Consider the following 17,076-nt stretch of genomic DNA (forward strand, 5'->3'; position numbering starts at 1 on the left):
CCAGGCTGGAGTGCAGTGGCACAATCTTGGCTCAGTGCAACCTCCGCCTCCCAGGTTCAAGTGATTCTCTGCCTCAGCCTCCCGAGTAGCTGGGATTACAGGCACCCGCCACCATGCCTGGCTAATTTTTGTATTTTTAGTAGAGACAGGGTTTCAGTTTCACTGTCTTGGCCAGGCTGGTCTTGAACTCCTAATCTCGTGATCCACCTGCCTTGGCCTTCCAAAATGCTGGGATTACAGGCATGAGCCACTGCACCCAGCCTGTAATATGTTTTTGAATATAAGTATACTAGCTATTTTAAGTTATTGCCTGCTTATTCTAAAATCTTTATCATTGCAGAATCTGTCGCTGTTTGATTTTTCTTTTGATTATGGGTCATAATTTCCTGTTTCTTTGTATATGTAGTGCCTCTGGATTCTGTTTTGTTCCTTCATAAACTATTGGTTTTAATTGTTTTGTTTTTTACTTTAGCAAATTCTGCTGCTCCCATGATGAGTGCCAGCTGAAATCTGCTCAGTTCTTTAATTGAACTGTTTGAAGTCAGCCCCATGCACACATAGGTCAGGAGTGAGCCAGAGACTTGGGAAAAGTGGATATGCAAGTTTTGTGGTACCTATTTTCTTTCTCTGGCCATCTCTCTTCTGGGATTTAGCCCTCACTTTCCAGTTGCTATGGCTGTGGTGAACCTCTTGTCTTCTTGTACTTTAAGCTTTAAGGCTTGTGTATTTCTGTTTGAGTTTTAGCAGCCCTGCATGACTGCTTTCAAGTGATGTTCCTTAAAAAAAAAAAAAAAAAAAAAGCACATAGGCACATACCTAGTGCTGTTTCTTTCCTCTTCAGCTTGTTTGTGGTTGCTCTGTAGTGTCTTAATAGACTTTGTCCAGAGTTTATAGTTGTTATCTGCTGGAGAGTTGGGGTTTTAACCTGAGGCTTTTTGCCACTACTGGTGGAAATCTACACTGCTCGCCCTTTTAAGTCTTTTTTTATCCTCTAAGTTTCCTCTCCAGTCACTCATTCTTATTCTCTGCCCTCCTGCTAACCAAGTCATTTATTCCACCTTCTGGATTTTGCTAATGCCATCCACGTAGTGTCAACGTTCCTCTGTTCTCCCAGTTACCTATAAACCGGTGGTTGGCTGTAGTAGTTTCTTAAGATTCAGGCTTAATTTCAGGAATGGGAAAGATCCACTATTTCATAGGTTGTGTGGTGTTTTTTTAATCAAAAACCACTTTAAAAGTTTTAATTTTTGGTCATGTTAGCAGCTAATGCTCAGTGCCTACATCCACTAATTAGCAATTGTAAAATGGTGATAGTCTAACTCAGTAGTTTTCCAAGTACAGTTTGGGACTTGTAAGGGATCCTTGAGACCTTTTCAGAGGTTCTTTAAAGTTAAAAAAAAAAATTTAATAATACTGAGACTCAGTTTGCTGTTTTTTTACTCCTGTTTTCATGGGTATACAGAGTTTTCCAGAAGCTACATAACATAAAAATGCGGAAGCAGATGAGAAATCAGCTGGCTCCTACCTAACAAGGCATTAATGAAGTTTACAAAAATTACAACAGTAATCCCAGCACTTTTGGGAGGCCGAGGCAGGTGGATCCACGAGGTCAGGAGATCGAGACCATCTTGGCTAACATGGTGAAATCCTGTCTCTACTAAAAATACTAACAAATTAGCTGGGCGTGGTGGCACATGCCTGTAGTCCCAGCTGCTTGGGAGGCTGAGGCAGGAGAATGGCATGAACCCGGGAGGCGGAGCTTGCAGTGAGCCGAGATGGCGCCACTGCACTGCAGCCTGGACGACAGAGCGAGACTCTGTCTCAAAAAAAAAAAAAAAAAAAAAAAAGCGCCTTTTCACTAATTTTTTTTGTTTTGGAAAAAGCTGTTTTTATAAATAAAAGTTATTTACATTAAGATGCAATAGTTTTATTCTTCTTTTAAGAACATTAAAACTATTTATAAATATCAGTAGATATGGTGCACCACCATTTGTGGTCTTCAATATTGAACTCTTCAAAATAGTTTCATAACATTTCCAACAGCAAGCAATTAGGTTTTTTTTAAATTACTATGAATTTATTTATTTGATATGTTTCACTCAGTTATTCTTGCTGATGCCCAAATTTTCCCCTCTTTGTTCAATGAGGTAATCTGTTTTTGAAACCTATTTAAAACTTCTGCAAATCTTGTTTTTACCTAGAAGAGCTTTGCCTGAATGTTCCTTTTTTTTTTTTTAATTAACCTGTGAGCCACCCGTGTATTCAGAAATGTTGAAAGAAAACTGTTTCTTCCCCACCTCTTGGTTTATTTACATAGAATATTGTACAAATGTGGTTTACTTCAGGGGCTTGTTTTGAATTTGTGCTAATTCTCTCTGTTCCTTGGCCAATGACTACATTCTAAACCTCGGTCAGCTGCCTCACAAATGCATGCCTTCAGTCACCAGGACAACAAGACAATAGAGTATCAGTACAAATAGATCACTATGATTGAGTCCTAGATTGAACTAAATAATGGATGAGTGTATTTGTTTTAAGAGGTGGCTGGTATTGATGATATCCTTAAACCATAGATAATCCACAAACAATTCTTACTTCATATCAAGACAAAATATAAAGTTCTTAATCATTTCTGAAGGTTATATGACCAAACAAGCTAGCCCTCTTCTGCTACTCCCTTGCTCAACTCCTTGTTTGTTCCAGGTGTATTCTGGAAAATGTAAAAAATGTAAAGCTTTTTCTGTGTGTACATCTATATGTGAGGTAGGGAGGCAAGAACACACCTTTGGTTAATTTTTCCTTGAAACCTTGCATATCAGATTCATAATATCTTTGGGAGTGAGAATGCTTTGCTTTAAGAGGCGTCACAAAGTAAGTTTAGAACAATTGGAATGGAAACACTGTTGGGATTTTTTTTTTTTTCTTTTTAGGAAATAATTCTAAAGCTCATCCAAAAGAACAGAAAAGTAAAACTAGTTGGGAATAATTTGTAAAATTATTTACTGTTTGTAAATAGTCAATAATTAAAGCAACCTGAAACTAGTGCAAGGATAGGCACGGATCTGTAGATTAGATCCTGAGATATACTGTAACCTTCATATATTATAAATGTGGATGATCTTGTAAAACAAAAGAATTTCAGCATTCAGTGTGGAAGTTGGTTATTCAATGAATGGAAAATTAACTAGAATGTTACCTGACATGATACACCAAAATTTCAGAAAAATTTTAGCATTAAAATGTAAGTCATAAAGGAAGCCATAAACATGTAGAAAACAGTCTCAAAAGATCTACCTGCAAAATGTTTATTAATCCCAAGGGGGACAAACAGTGACTTTAAATGGATAAAGATACATTTTAACCAAATAATCCAAGTATACACCAGTACTGGGACAAATTGATGTTGTGTATCTTTCTTCATAATGATACACTGGGAAGGACACGTCACTTACATAGTATCTTCCCCAAAATACGTAACTTTAATTTAATCATGAGGAAGCCCAGAGGAAGAGACATACCACCAAACAGCTGGCCTGTACTCTTCAAAGATATCATAGTCATGAAAGACAGAAAGAGTAAAGAATGTTCCACATTAAAAGAGACAAGACAGTTAATGGATTCTGGACAAGGAAAACCTTTTCTTTTTGCTATAAAGGCCATTATTAAGATTACTGACTAATCTTTAGATCAGATAATATAAAATATTAATGTCTTGATTTTGATAATTGTGCTATGGTTATGTAAAAGAACGTACTTATTTTTAGGAAATATACATTTAGGGGTAAAAGGCTTGTTATGTCACCAATTTAAATGGTTCATTAAAAAAATTATTTTTCTCAAGAGAATGATAAAGCAAATGTTACCGTTGGAGACTTGGTAAAGGGTATGTGGGATGTGTTTCCACTATCAACTTTTCTGTAAAATAAATTATTTTGTAATTAAAAAACCAAGCAGAACTAAATTGTAATGTTTAAGGATGTATACATGGTGGGGGTGGGTAACAGTAAAACACAAAGAGTGATTACTATAGAAAATACAGCCAAATAGCCAACTACATATTTAGCATTTGAATGCAGAAGAACTTTATAGACTGAAAGCAATGGAAGAAGTCACAAAGTAAAAACTGATATATTTAACTAGATAAAACAAGGAAACTCGTGAAAGGCAGAGTAAATAAAATTAAAAGGCAGAGCCCTTGTTCTGTGCCAGGCACCATACCATACAGGGTAATTTACTTATGTTATCTTAGTTTGAGATAGTTGGGCAGATGATAATCTTCCTTGAAACTACTATGACTTCACTAATAATAAGTCTTAAATTTATAAAGCTCTTTGTAATTTACAAAGTTCATTCATAAATAACCTGTGTGTTGAGGGGGGTAGGGAGGGGTGCTTACTGTACTCATGCTCCTTACTGAAAGAAGAGAAGGCTTATTGCCCTGGGAAAACCACGAAACACAGCACCACACATACACACACACACATGCACACGCACACACATCCACACCCCTGATTGTACCAGGAATGGACACCTAACCCTGGGGCTAGTGACTTATCAGGTCCTGTTTCTTCAGAAATTGAATTAAGGTTCACAGAGGCTGTATTCAAAACAACGAGTCATCTGAACTGAAAAATTGTATGTAGTGGGCTCTGTGCAGGCTGACAAGTAAACAAACAAAAAGTAGTACTTTAGAGAAGCAAGAGTGGAGACAAGACATAGTATGAGAAGCAAAATGATAAACTATGTCTTGGTGGAGGGGTGAGTTGAGAGGGGGCTTAGGAGATAGGCACTCAGACTGCCCAGGTCCCAGATAGTTTCCTGTTTGCATTCCTGGTTCCCATGAAGTATTTGTTTTATTTTGGTGGAGTGCTTTGGTGTATGCTGTCTGCAAATCTGTTTTTCTCCAAGCTAATATAGCTGGGTTTCGATTCTTTTCATCCTATCTAGAACACAGTTCTGATGTTAGAGACCTTAAGTGAAATAAGGTATGGGTATGTGAGCTGTGTGTGCTGCCCTTTACTAAGTCCTTATGGTAGATGTCTGAATTAGAGTTGTTGCTCTCCTTCACAACGCAGATACTTGCAAGTAAGTTTTCTTACTATCCATTGCATTATATTTCTCTCTAGTATTCTAAATATTTGCTTCTTTTTTTTCCTTTGTGAGATTTCCTAATCCCTTTTCAAATGTTTTATCATTTCTGTTTCTTTGTACTTAGTAGTTACTTAGAAAACAAGTGTTAAATACCTATTAATCTTTCACCAAAACTTATTCTGGTACTTTTTCTCCTATATTATCAAGTGAATCAGTATGTATAATAAATTGGCTCTCAGATAGTCCTTGCTGTTGGGAAGTTCTTCCTCCAGGGGAAAGTTTTTGCCCATCTCTCTATGTTATTCCCTGTGCACATTCTAATATGTTTTTGTTTGTGCAGGCATCATTCAGTTTATGTATTGTTTAGATATGCCTCTAAAACAGGTTTTTATTATCCTATTTAAATTGTTACTAGTCTTGGATGCTGGGATGGTAGCATAGTCCATGGTTGTAGGTATGTTAGGGGTTGGCACACTTTTTCTGTGAGAGTCAGATAGTAAATATTTTAGGCTTTATGGGTGCCATAAGGTCTTTGTTGCAGTTAATGCTGATGTTGTAGCTGAAAGTAGTCATAGACAATACGTAAGCAAGTGGGTGTGACTGTGTTCTAAGAAAACTTTATCTACACACATAGGCCCCAGATTTAGCCCAGTTTGCTGATCCCTGGCTGTATATGACGTGAGAATTTGGATCAGTGAATTTATTATTTCTACCTAAATAAGTTGGGGAACTAAATGTTCTAGGTCAGTGTGTATATTTTAGATGGAACAAAAGAAAAAAGAGAATTTCTATTGTGCATACATTTGAGGGCTGTTAAGGAAGTTGCTTTCACTCATACACCAGGTATTAAGTGCTTACTGTGTGTCAGGTACCAAGCATACAAATAGTGTTGAATCAGAGAGGAGGTTCCTGCCTCATGACATAGCATTTAAAAATTATGAGATAAAGGTAGTGAAAATAATGTGAGAGTGCGTATCTGCGATTTGGTAGAGGGATTATTGTCCCTTTGGATTGGGTGGTTAGGGAAGACTTTCTGAGGAGGCCAGTAGGCTGGAAAGAGTTTAGAAATTAGTTTGGAGGGCTAATCAGGGGTCACATTCTGTTAAGCCTAATAGGCTGTGATGAAGAATTTGATTTTTACGTTAAGGAAGCTGTTATAAGGTAGTTTGTGCTTAAATAAATTACTTTTAAAGAAACCCTAGGACAAAATAAACAAGTCGGATTTCATATCGCCTAAGTCTGATACTACCTTACCTGTCCATTTATGTGGCTGGTTCACAAAGGCACTATGCCTCAGAGATCTCACATACAGCTTGTGTGTGCCTATTTTTAGTTACTCAGTTGCATAAGTTCTAATTCTTGCTAGCACATTTTATAAAACCAAATGTTAAGATAGAGTATACTGTAAAGTTCCTAAAAAAGATGTATGTAAATGCAAAACCATCAGTTTCTCTTGTATAAAGCACATGTGGATAGTGTTTTTGTTTGTGCAGGCATCATTCAGTTTATGTATTGTTTAGATATGTGTCAGTCAGAAATACTAATCAGCTGGTGGTCTAGCAATACAGTCAAAGTAATGTAGGCTGGATCCGTGTAGGAAATGTTAATAATGTACTTAATAATGTACTTGTTTTTCCAGTATTTTACTTGAGTCATGGCATATATTTGAGATTATTTCTCTGAGTATGGACTTTTTCTCCCTCGTTTATTCCTTTTAGGGCAAAATAATATGTTGGTAATAGAATTTTGTATAGGTCCACGGTACCTGTTTAGAGAGCTTCTAATGGTATTTACTGTTTGTTAATATTTATTTTTGTTCAGTTTTTCTACTTCCAAAAAGTGGATATTGATTACTTGTTCATCAAATTTTCAGTTTTTAAACTATTCTGTTATTTGTTCCTGTGTTTTATGGGCAGAATTATTAAGTGCTGTGATTATATCTTACATACAAAAGGAGGCAGGATTACCTAGAGGATTACTCCATCTCTACTAATAGAGAAAGGACAAAAAAGAAAGTATGAAATCTAGTTGGATGTATGTAGATTGGCTTAGTGAAAAAAGATTCTCTAAATTCCAGATCCTCTGTCCTTTCCTTATTCTTTTATCTTTCTATATAGAGGTTATAAGCAGAGTCATGCCATGTGGTTTATTCTTTTTATCCTTTTTATGAAAATAAGGTTTTCTCCAAATAAAGGTGAATATCCATTTCAACAAGTTTCCACTCCAATTTGCTGTCCCCCTCAAGGATTACTGATATAATACTGATTCTTACCTTTCCTTTTATATATGAGTAATTGGGAATGAGTATGGAGGTTTCCTATTTTTGGTATTCATAACTGAGTTTGTTAAATTGCTAGCCCTGTATATATTTATTATCATGAGTTGGCTGCTGTGCTGGATAGCTGCTATCTGCACTTCTCACTCCAGTCTTTTCCCTGCTCTGGCTCCAAGCAGCTGGTCTGTCTGGATATACAAATGGGCTTCTTGTCCCTGCTTTCTAGTTGGGTTCAGCTGGTGGGGAACATTTTCAGCTGATTGAAGGAAAGGAGGAGAGAGAGGTTAGGATTTTTACTTTTCATGACTTCTTCCTGTGGGATTTCTGTAGCCTGGCCGCATCCTTCCATTGAAGTTTCCAGTTCCTATCAGGCAGCTGACATTTTTCTTTCTTCCCCTGCTTTACTGCCAATGGGTAGTGATATGCCCTGCTGTTACTAACCCTGGGATATAACACTCTCACTTGTGATTTCCTTACAACCCACCTATGCTTCGTAACAGTCTCCTTATTAAACTTCCTTCAAATTATCCAAATTGACTGTGCCATCCATTTCTATAGTAACTGACTGATAAAATATGCTTTAACATGTTTTAGATTCTGTCAGTGTCTGTTATGATTCCAATTATAGAGTGGATTAGGACTAAGGGAAAAAATTATCAATTTTATGAATTTATTCTGTTGTCTGGTGTGATTTTATTTTTAGTTCTTCCATAATATCTGGCTTTGAGTATTGCCAGTTTATTGAACACTTAATATGGCACAGCCCATTATTTGAAGCATTATGGGGAATCCAAAAGTAAATGAGACACATGCTCCGTGATTCTACTACTAGGCAGTTTGGAATGAGTTTCCTGTGAGAGCTACAAAATGCTAGAAGTTCAGAGGAGGGAGAGTGCTCTGTCAAGACCACTATGATTGTGTCTGCAGCAGGAATGAAGGGAGATCTACAGCTTCCTGTATTTTCCTGGTAAGACCACCCTTCCCAGTCATTGCTTATTTCATCACTCCATAGCCCATCACTGCAAACCACTTAAGAGACCAGGCCCAAAAGTAATATAACTAATACAATTTTTTTTGTTGTTTTTTGAGACAGTCTTGCTCTGTCACCCAGGCTGGAGTACAGTGGCACGATCTCAGCTCACTGCACCTTCTGCCTCCCGGGCTCAAGCAATTCTCCTGCCTCAGCCTTCTGAGTAGCTGGAATTACAGGTGCATGCCACCATGCCCGGCTTATTTTTTTGTGTGTGTTCTTAGTAGAGACGGGGTTTCACCATTTCGTCCAGGCTGGTCTTTACCTCCTGACCCCGCAAAGTGCTGGGATTATAGACGTGAGCCACTGCACCTGGCCAAACTAATACTATTTAAAGTTTATATACCTGTTCCCAGTACAAAACATATATTAATTTACTTAACTCTAAACCTCCCTATGAAATAGGTTATATTATTATTTGCATTTTACAGATAAATGTTAACTTGCTCAAGTCAAATAGCAGCATACAGAGTTGGAATTCAAACTCATGCAGTCTGATTCCCTTGTCCAAGCTCATTAACTACCATAACCATCACATTATTCTACAATTAGAATTGATTATTCACCTCCCCCAAAAGAGACCATCAAAACCAATTCCATTGTTGCATATAATTCCTTGTTTTAGGTGTCATTCTTGCTCCTCAGTGCTGTTTTTAGCCCCTCACCCCCACTTTTAATGTCAATAGATTTTATCACTTGCTGCATCTTCTTGTTGCAGTCATACCAGTCGGTCTCCCTCATTCAGTATTTATTTATTTATTTAGAGACAGGGTCTCACTGTATGACACCCAGGATGGAGTAGAGTGGTATGATCAAGGGTGACTGCAACCTCTACTTGCCAGGCTCAGGTGATTCTCTCACCTCAGCCTCCCGAGTAGCTGGGACTACACATGCACCACCATGCTCAGTGAATTTTTATATTTTTTGTAGAGACTGTATTTTGCCATGTTGCCCAGGCTGGTCTTGAATTCCTGGGCTCAAGCAATCCATCCGTTTGGGCCTCGCAAAGTGCTGGGATTACAGGAGTGAGCCATCGTATTCAGCCCCCTCATTCATTTTAGGTACTGTTTTTATTCTCACTAGTGTTAATCATTTTGGCAATTCCAGTATCCACGTAGATATCTGCATGGCCCTCTGAATTCCTTGACCTCCAGTGATCCTTCATACTACTTTAGACCTTTTATTGATTGATAACTGTATCACCTCCCAGATTTCAGTTTCAAGCATCCAGCTCTCTGACCACCACTGATTCTCTCTTCCTGGCTTACTCTAATACTGGAGCCAACAATTTTGGGACAATCATCAGCATCTCTATTCCTTCATTTCACTAAATCCCTTTGTTATCCGTCTTCCTCCTGATGTCTTTATTTTTCTTAGCTTAGATTCCATGGTCTGTTAATATAATCACCTTTTTCCAACTTCTGTCATATTCTGCTTGATTAAACCAATATTCTACCTACTTTTACCTAAATAGCCAGATAAAGCTGGAGAAAAAAAGCCTTCGGACTAGTTTCACTTTATATATTGATGGCCACAAGTCTTCAGTGCTTCCTAGTTAGTTCATTCTCTCCCTTTTTTCCCAACCTTGAAACCCCCTTTTTTCAGTTGATGGTGTTTATTTTAGTAAAAAACCAAAACAAGCAGAAAAGAGACTTTATACTCTATCAGCAAATCTAGATGCCTGAAATAGCAATGTTAGTAGAATGTTGGGAGCAGAATGCAACCTTTCAGGGACTAAACTGTGAGTAGGTCATAAGGAATTAGAGATTGATGTTTTCCCAGGTGTGTCACTGAAACACTGTCTGTGTTAAATGAATCTTACCCCGTAATAGGCTTACTGGCTAAATTTGGGAGATGCTGAAAGCTGTGTATAGTTTGAATCTCTCTTTCCCTCTCTCTCTGGTGTTCTGATACAGAGGCAAGGAAAGATGAATAAAATTACAGGTAGAAAGTAAGTTTCCATCTGGTGGCCTAGATGTTACTAAAGCATTGGTTTTCAAACTTTAGCCCACTTCAGAATAACCTGGAGGACTTGATAAAACAGATTGCTGGGTTCTACCTAGAGGGACTGATTTCACATGTCTTGGGTTGCTCCTGAAAATTTGCATTTCCAACAAGTTCTTAGTTGACACTGATGTTGCTTGCTGATTTACGGAACTGGGAATCACATATTGAGAGTTACTTCACTTGAGTAAGAATTCAACTGTCAAGAGTGTTAAGATTGGTTAGGATTTTGATCTATAAATATAGGAAATAGCTGCTGTGGGGCAATATAATAGGAAATTAGAGCCGATTAATAACTTTGAGGGACTTTGACAGTGAGACAGTTTGAATTTGTAGAGGACTCAAGCAGCTATTTTTAATGACTTTTTTCTCTAGCAGTGTGACCTTCCAGAGAGCAGGAACAGAACCACAGCAGTTAGTAAACAATTTTGAGGGAATCCTGCAGGCTGCTTATGTCAAATAGTTTATCATCAAGCACTCCATCTTTGCTTTGCGTTACGAGTGCCAAGATGGCAGCTCTATGATCTGTCTGCCCTTAGCCCATCTGCTTCATTTTATTTATTTATTTGTATGCTTATTATTTATTCATTTATTGATTTTAGTTTTAAAAGTGGTATGTGGCAGAGGTTTTGGAATATAGTAAAGTGTCCATCAAATACAGTCAATAGTTTCATGGCTTTGGGTAAATAACTACCCTGTCTCTTGTTTTCTCATTTGGGAAGTTTTAAAATAGAAGAATGAAAAACTTCCAGGCCTCCCTTTATGAATGTAACTGATAAATCTTTAAAAATCTTAAAGAATTACATTTTGGGAGAATCATTAGTTAGGTTTCTGCCTGAGGAGAGTCCCATGTAGTTCTTTGTAAGTGGCTAAATATTGGACAAGCTGGGTCTCTTAAAGGTCTGTAGTATTTCTGGCAGTAAGTTGTACTAATGTTCCTGGATGTCTGTACTTCTCAGGCGTTGCCAGTGAAATGTTTTCATAATGGATTGTGCCTTACTCTAGTTCTCACTCGTTTTAACTGTCACTTCCTAAATGACTTTATAGTATCTGTACTGAGCCTGGAATAGGAAGGAACCACAAGAAATATATATATAGACAGACAGACACGGAGTCTCACTCTGTCATCAGGCTGGAGTGCAGTGGCGCAATCTCGGCTCACTGCAACCTCTGACTCCCGGGTTCAAGCGATTCTCCTGCTTCAGCTTCTGGAGTAGCTGGGGTTACAGGCATGCGCCACCATGCCCAGCTATTTGTTTTTTCTGTATTTTTAGTAGAGGTGGGGTTTCACCATGTTGGCCATGATGGTCTCGATCTCCTGACCTCATGATCCGCCTGCCTTGGCCTCCCATAGTGCTGGGATTACAGGCGTGAGCCACCACGCCCGACCCACAAGAAATGTTTTGAAACAGATTTGGGGACATGATAGGAAAGGAGAAGGGCAAGTCCTTTCTCCTAACCTTTCTCTTATTTCTCCCATACCCAGTTCAGTGAGCAGGTAAGATTGAGAAGTACGCTTTTCCTTCCCTGATTTCTTAAATACTTGTCAGGGTTTTTGAAACCAGATACTATGCTCTTTTCATAGTGTCGTAATTGCTTATTCTTTAGAATAATGTATTTTGGAAACTCGTGGACTTGTTTTTGATAATTTTGCTGAGGAATAGTTGATAACTTGGATATTTAAACTGATAACGTGTACATACTTAAAGTGTACAATTTGATGAGTTTTGACATTTGTATGTATCATGAAACCACTACCACAATAACAAGATAGCATATATTTTCATTGTGCAACCCTTTGTAATGAATCCACTGATCTGCTTTTCATCGCTGTAGACTGGTTTACATTAAAAATTTAAATGAATGGAAATATGCAGTATATACGTTTTGGTGGGGGGGTGCACATGTTTCTTTCAGCATAATCTTGAGGTTTATTCATGTTTCTTGTATTAATGGTTTTCTCCTTTTAATTGCTGAATAATGTTCTTCTTTGGATATTCTCCCATTTGTTTATTCACTTGTTTATGAACAATTGGGTGATTTCCAGTTTGGGGTTATTATCAGTAAAGCTGCTACAAATATTTATGTACAGTCTGAGTGTGGAAAAGTGCTTTTATTTTTCTTGAATAAATACCTAGAAGTAGAATGGCTACATCATATGCTAGGTCTATGTTTAACTCTTGAGAAACTGCCAAATGTTTTCCAAAGTGCTTACACCATTTTACATTCTAAAGAATTCCGGTTGTTCCACATTGTTACCAACACATGATGCAGTCACACTTTGTTTTCGGCTTTTCTAGTAGTATATGCATGTCTGTCTTGTGGAGTCTCAGTGTCTTTTTTTTTTTTTTTTTTTTTTTAAAGACAGAGTTTTGCTCTTGTCGCCCAGGCTGGAGTGCAATGACATGATCTTGGCTCACTGCAACCTCCCCTTCCTGGGTTCAAGCCATTCTTCTGACTCAGCCTCCTGAGTAGCTGGGATTACAGGCATGCACCACTACGCCTGGCTAATTTTTTTGTATTTTTAGTAGAGATGGGGTTTCACCATTTTGGCCAGTCTAGTCCCGAACTCCTGACCTCAGGTGATCCGCCTGCACCCGGCCTCAGTGTCATTTTAATTTGCATTTTATGCATGACTAATGATAGTGGGCTGCTGATATCTTTGGTGAAGTGTTTGTTCAGACCTTTTGCCCCCGCTTTAAACAAGTGTTGGCTGGGCATGGTGGCTCGCGCCTGTAATCCCAGCACTTTGGGAGGCTGAGGCGGGCAGATCGCTTGAGCTCATGAGTTCGAGACCAGCCTGGGCAACATGGTGAAACACCATCTCTACAAAAAATACAAAAAATTAGCCACCTGTGGTGCTGCACTCCTGTAGTCCCAGCTTACTCAGGAGGCTGAAGTGGGAGGATGGCTTGAGCCTGGGAGGCAATAAGCTGAGATTGCACCACTGCACTCCATCCTGGGTGATAGAGACAGACCTTTTCTCAAACAAACAAAAACCAAAACAAGTGTTGGGTTATCTGTCTTTTATAATTGAGTTGTAGGAATTCTTTATATATTCCAGTTTCAAGTTCTTATACATTTTACAAATACTTTTGATCAGTTGGTGTCTTGATTTTTGTACTTTTTAAGTTTTTTTGAAGAATAGTTTTTTATTTTGATGAAGTCTGCTTTATCAGTTTTTCTCTTTATAGTTCTTTTTGTGCTATTTTATTTCATTTCTCTTTTGGTTTTTCTGAAAGTTAAATATCTCAGATTCTCATTTTTTAGCTATTGGACCAAAAATGCATAGGAGACAGCTATAAAGCTAATAGTGTGTTTGCCTTATATTTGTGTTTATTGTTACAATTTTAAAGTGTTTATGATTCTAGTATTTTTGTTTGTTCTTTTTGGTTTTTTAGACTTGCTAAAGGGCCTGTGAAATAGCCATTGGTTCAGTTCCTTTGTTTTGTAAGGGAACTGAGCAGGTTACATGACTTTGCTAATGGTGAAGTTTATGATTATGCCAAGACTGAAAAGACCCCAGGTCCTCTGAAATCCCACTTCACTCTTCATTTCCCCTTTTTAATGATTTTGTTGCTAAAATTTTACTGCATACTGCAACATATTAAAAATAAATTTAGTTCCTGTTTATTAGTATCCTCATTGAAAGCATATTATTAAAATTATTATGTAGATTAGCTTCCTGAAAGAATCATAGTATCCCCTTAAAATTTCATTAAGTGAAGATGTTGAATTTAACATATATTTTTTTAATTCTTTCCAAAGGTCTGTAAACAGATTTGGCTAGGATTATTTGATGATAGATCTTCAGCAATTCCAGACTTCAGGGATCCACAAAAAGTGAAAGAGTTTCTACAAGAAAAGTATGAAAAGAAAAGATGGTGAGTGAAGAGTTTGTATGTAGAATAAAGCCTCCCCAAATCACATATTAACTATGGGTAAGGTTAGTCTGACACAATGAAGGATAAAAGACAGACAGTGAGAACTAGATAGGTATATAATTCATTATCCCTTGGCTTTTTGTTGGTTTGGTTTCTGAAAACCTTTACTTCTACTTTATCTTAACTCATCTGTTCCTGGCAGCAGGCTTTTTGTTGTAATAATTACCAGGAAAGTTAGGGATTCTTCCTTCTAATCATTCCCTATCTCTGTTAGCTTCTTTAAATATGTTTTGCCCTACAAAGCCTCCGTTCTTAAAAATCATTAATTTAGCAAGTATTTACTGAGTCATATCTTTTTTTAATTTATTGAGTTTCATCTTCTGTATACTAGGCACTATGCTAAAGCTCTGGTGTAGTAATCCATCTACTTAATTGTCTGTTGTAGCCTTTGCTCAAAATATTTTTTCTTTTGACCTAAGAAATCAGTTTACTTTCTGGTTAAGAAGGGAGCATTTACTTTTCCCTAACTAAATCTATCAGATGTTAATTTTTAAAAATTAATTCCAACAGGTTGTACATATAGCTAGTAAGCCCCTTGCTATGGAATAGGGACTATATCTATAAAGCTAGTGTTCAGCTACTGAGGGTTCTTCATTTTTAGCTATATGAGCACAATTTAAGTTACTAAGACTCATTAACTATGAACTTTTGGTTATTTCTTTAATAGTATTGCATAGTGGATACTTTCATCTTGGGAGGTTAACAAGATGGGGCAGAGAGTCAAAATAGAGGGAATAAATAATGGGGAAGTAACGAGCTTCTTGTTTGCTTGAGGAACTCTGTTTCAACCCAAGAGAATCTGTTCAGAGCCTGTTTTGGTCCTGAGGGAACATTTGTTGTGGTTTACAGCAGAGGTCTTTACCTTCATTCAGGAGCACATTAGCTCTGACTTGCATGCTCTATCAAAATTTGTATTCTTACTACTTTCCAAAATAGACTACATTTTTCTTTTTTTTTTGGAGACTGAGTTTTGCTTTTGTCACCTAGGCTGGAGTGCAATGGTGCGATCTCGGCTCACTGCAACCCCCGCCTCCTGGGTTCAAGCAATTCTCATGCCTCAGCCTCCCAAGTAGCTGGGATTACAGGCACCCACCACCACGCCTGGCTAATTTTTTGCATTTTTAGTAGAGACAGGGTTTCGCCATGTTGGCCAGGCTGGTCTTGAACTCCTGACCTCAGGTGATCCACCTGCCTCAGCCTCCCAAAGTGCTGGGATTACAGTTGTGAGCCACTGTGCCCGGCCTAAAATAGACTACTTTTTGCAAGGCAAGATTAGTCAGGGCTATATTCAGCTGTACTAGAAGACATCAAGTATGAAAATAGATTAAAATACACCAGTAAAATTTAAGTTCAGGAAAGAAGAAAATACTAGAAGGTGGGTTGGTAGTAAAAATATGGTAGCATAAATGATTCTTTTAAAATGAAAGGTATAATTATCCTTTTATCATTTTGGTTCTGAATTTCCTAGACATTCTACCCTGTAGGAAAGACTGTTCTCCTTACATAGCCCTAACCTAGTTTTGTTTTCTCAGCCGTGTTACTTTTACCAATTCAGAAAGTGAGTTTGGTTAGGGATTAGTTTATGGTCAGCTCTAGCTATCAACAGAAAAGTGAGTGTGAGTAACAGTTGGTAGAATTAAAATCATAGATCCTTACCCCCACATTTATAACAGTAATGTATTATTCATTCAAACTATAACGCAAATACCTAGAAACCTCAAATAATTACAGTTTATGTTATTTTTTTTCTTTCCTGAGAAACAGGATAATAAGAGTTATACAAATAGAGACTTCAAGTGGTGGGACAGGTGACCATCATTAAGAGGGCCAGGACCTGTATGTTTTTAATCCAGACTGCTGCACACCTGTAACATACAGCTAGCAAGCAGTGAAATTGGTTTCTAACATGGAATAAGCACTATCCAGATGCAGCATCTCTAAAAATACTCACTGTAACTATACTTAAAACAGTGATGATGGTGTTATCCAAAGGGATTTTGAAACTGTTCTTTTGACCAGTTCTCAAAATCACTTTCTGTGTTATACTAGAAGACATCAGGTATGAAAATAGATTAAAATACACCAGTAAAATTTAAGTTCAGGAAAGAAGAAAATCCTAGAAGGTGGGTTGATAGTAAAAATATGGTAGCATATTACTTTGCCAGGTGAGTCTTTTGAACCAATAACTATCATTTGATTTTATCCTTTGATAAGACTTGGCTATACTGAAGAATTTGTATTAGTAGTATGCTAAATTATGGGAAAATATAACTTCTTGTATTCATTCTCATACATCTTTTATCTCTCCCATTTACTTGAAAGCAGTTGTTTGTGATTATTATGTAGTTTAGTGACAGTGAACACTTAGTTAACACGTATACCAGGAATTGTTCTCAGTGCTTTACAAATGTTAACTTGTTTAAACCTAGGCAACTCTGCCTCTCCATTTTATAAATGAAAAAAATGGAAGCACAAAGAGTTGAAGTATTAATAGTTTGCCCAAGGTTTCACAGCCATTTAGTGGTAGAGCTGGGATTTGAACTCTTGTCTCTGGAACAGGTGCTCTTAAGCATGGTTTTCCTTCTTTCCTCACCTACTTCATATGGGGAATAAGAAGGAGGGTAGGACAAAACCCAGAATTACAAAGAGCAAAAGCTCTCACATAATCCCACACCTAGAGGTCAGGATTGCCTATGTTTGGACATTATTATATCCTTGCTACCTCTCCTTTC

At 37.5% G+C, this 17,076-nt stretch overlaps 1 protein-coding gene across 4 annotated transcripts in view; it reads left to right on the plus strand.

Annotated features, from left to right (window-relative positions):
- AGFG1 (ArfGAP with FG repeats 1) overlaps positions 1 to 17,076 on the plus strand; it is an 89,062-nt gene that overhangs the window by 33,624 nt on the left and 38,362 nt on the right. For all 4 annotated transcript variants that reach the window (NM_001135187.2, NM_004504.5, NM_001135188.2 and 1 more), the window contains exon 3: positions 14,169 to 14,284. In NM_001135187.2, the coding sequence (NP_001128659.1) occupies positions 14,169 to 14,284 (116 nt within the window). The remainder of the gene's footprint in view (positions 1 to 14,168; positions 14,285 to 17,076) is intronic.

This window comes from Homo sapiens, chromosome 2 (assembly GCF_000001405.40).
Source record: "Homo sapiens chromosome 2, GRCh38.p14 Primary Assembly".
Taxonomy (NCBI): Eukaryota; Metazoa; Chordata; class Mammalia; order Primates; family Hominidae; genus Homo; species Homo sapiens.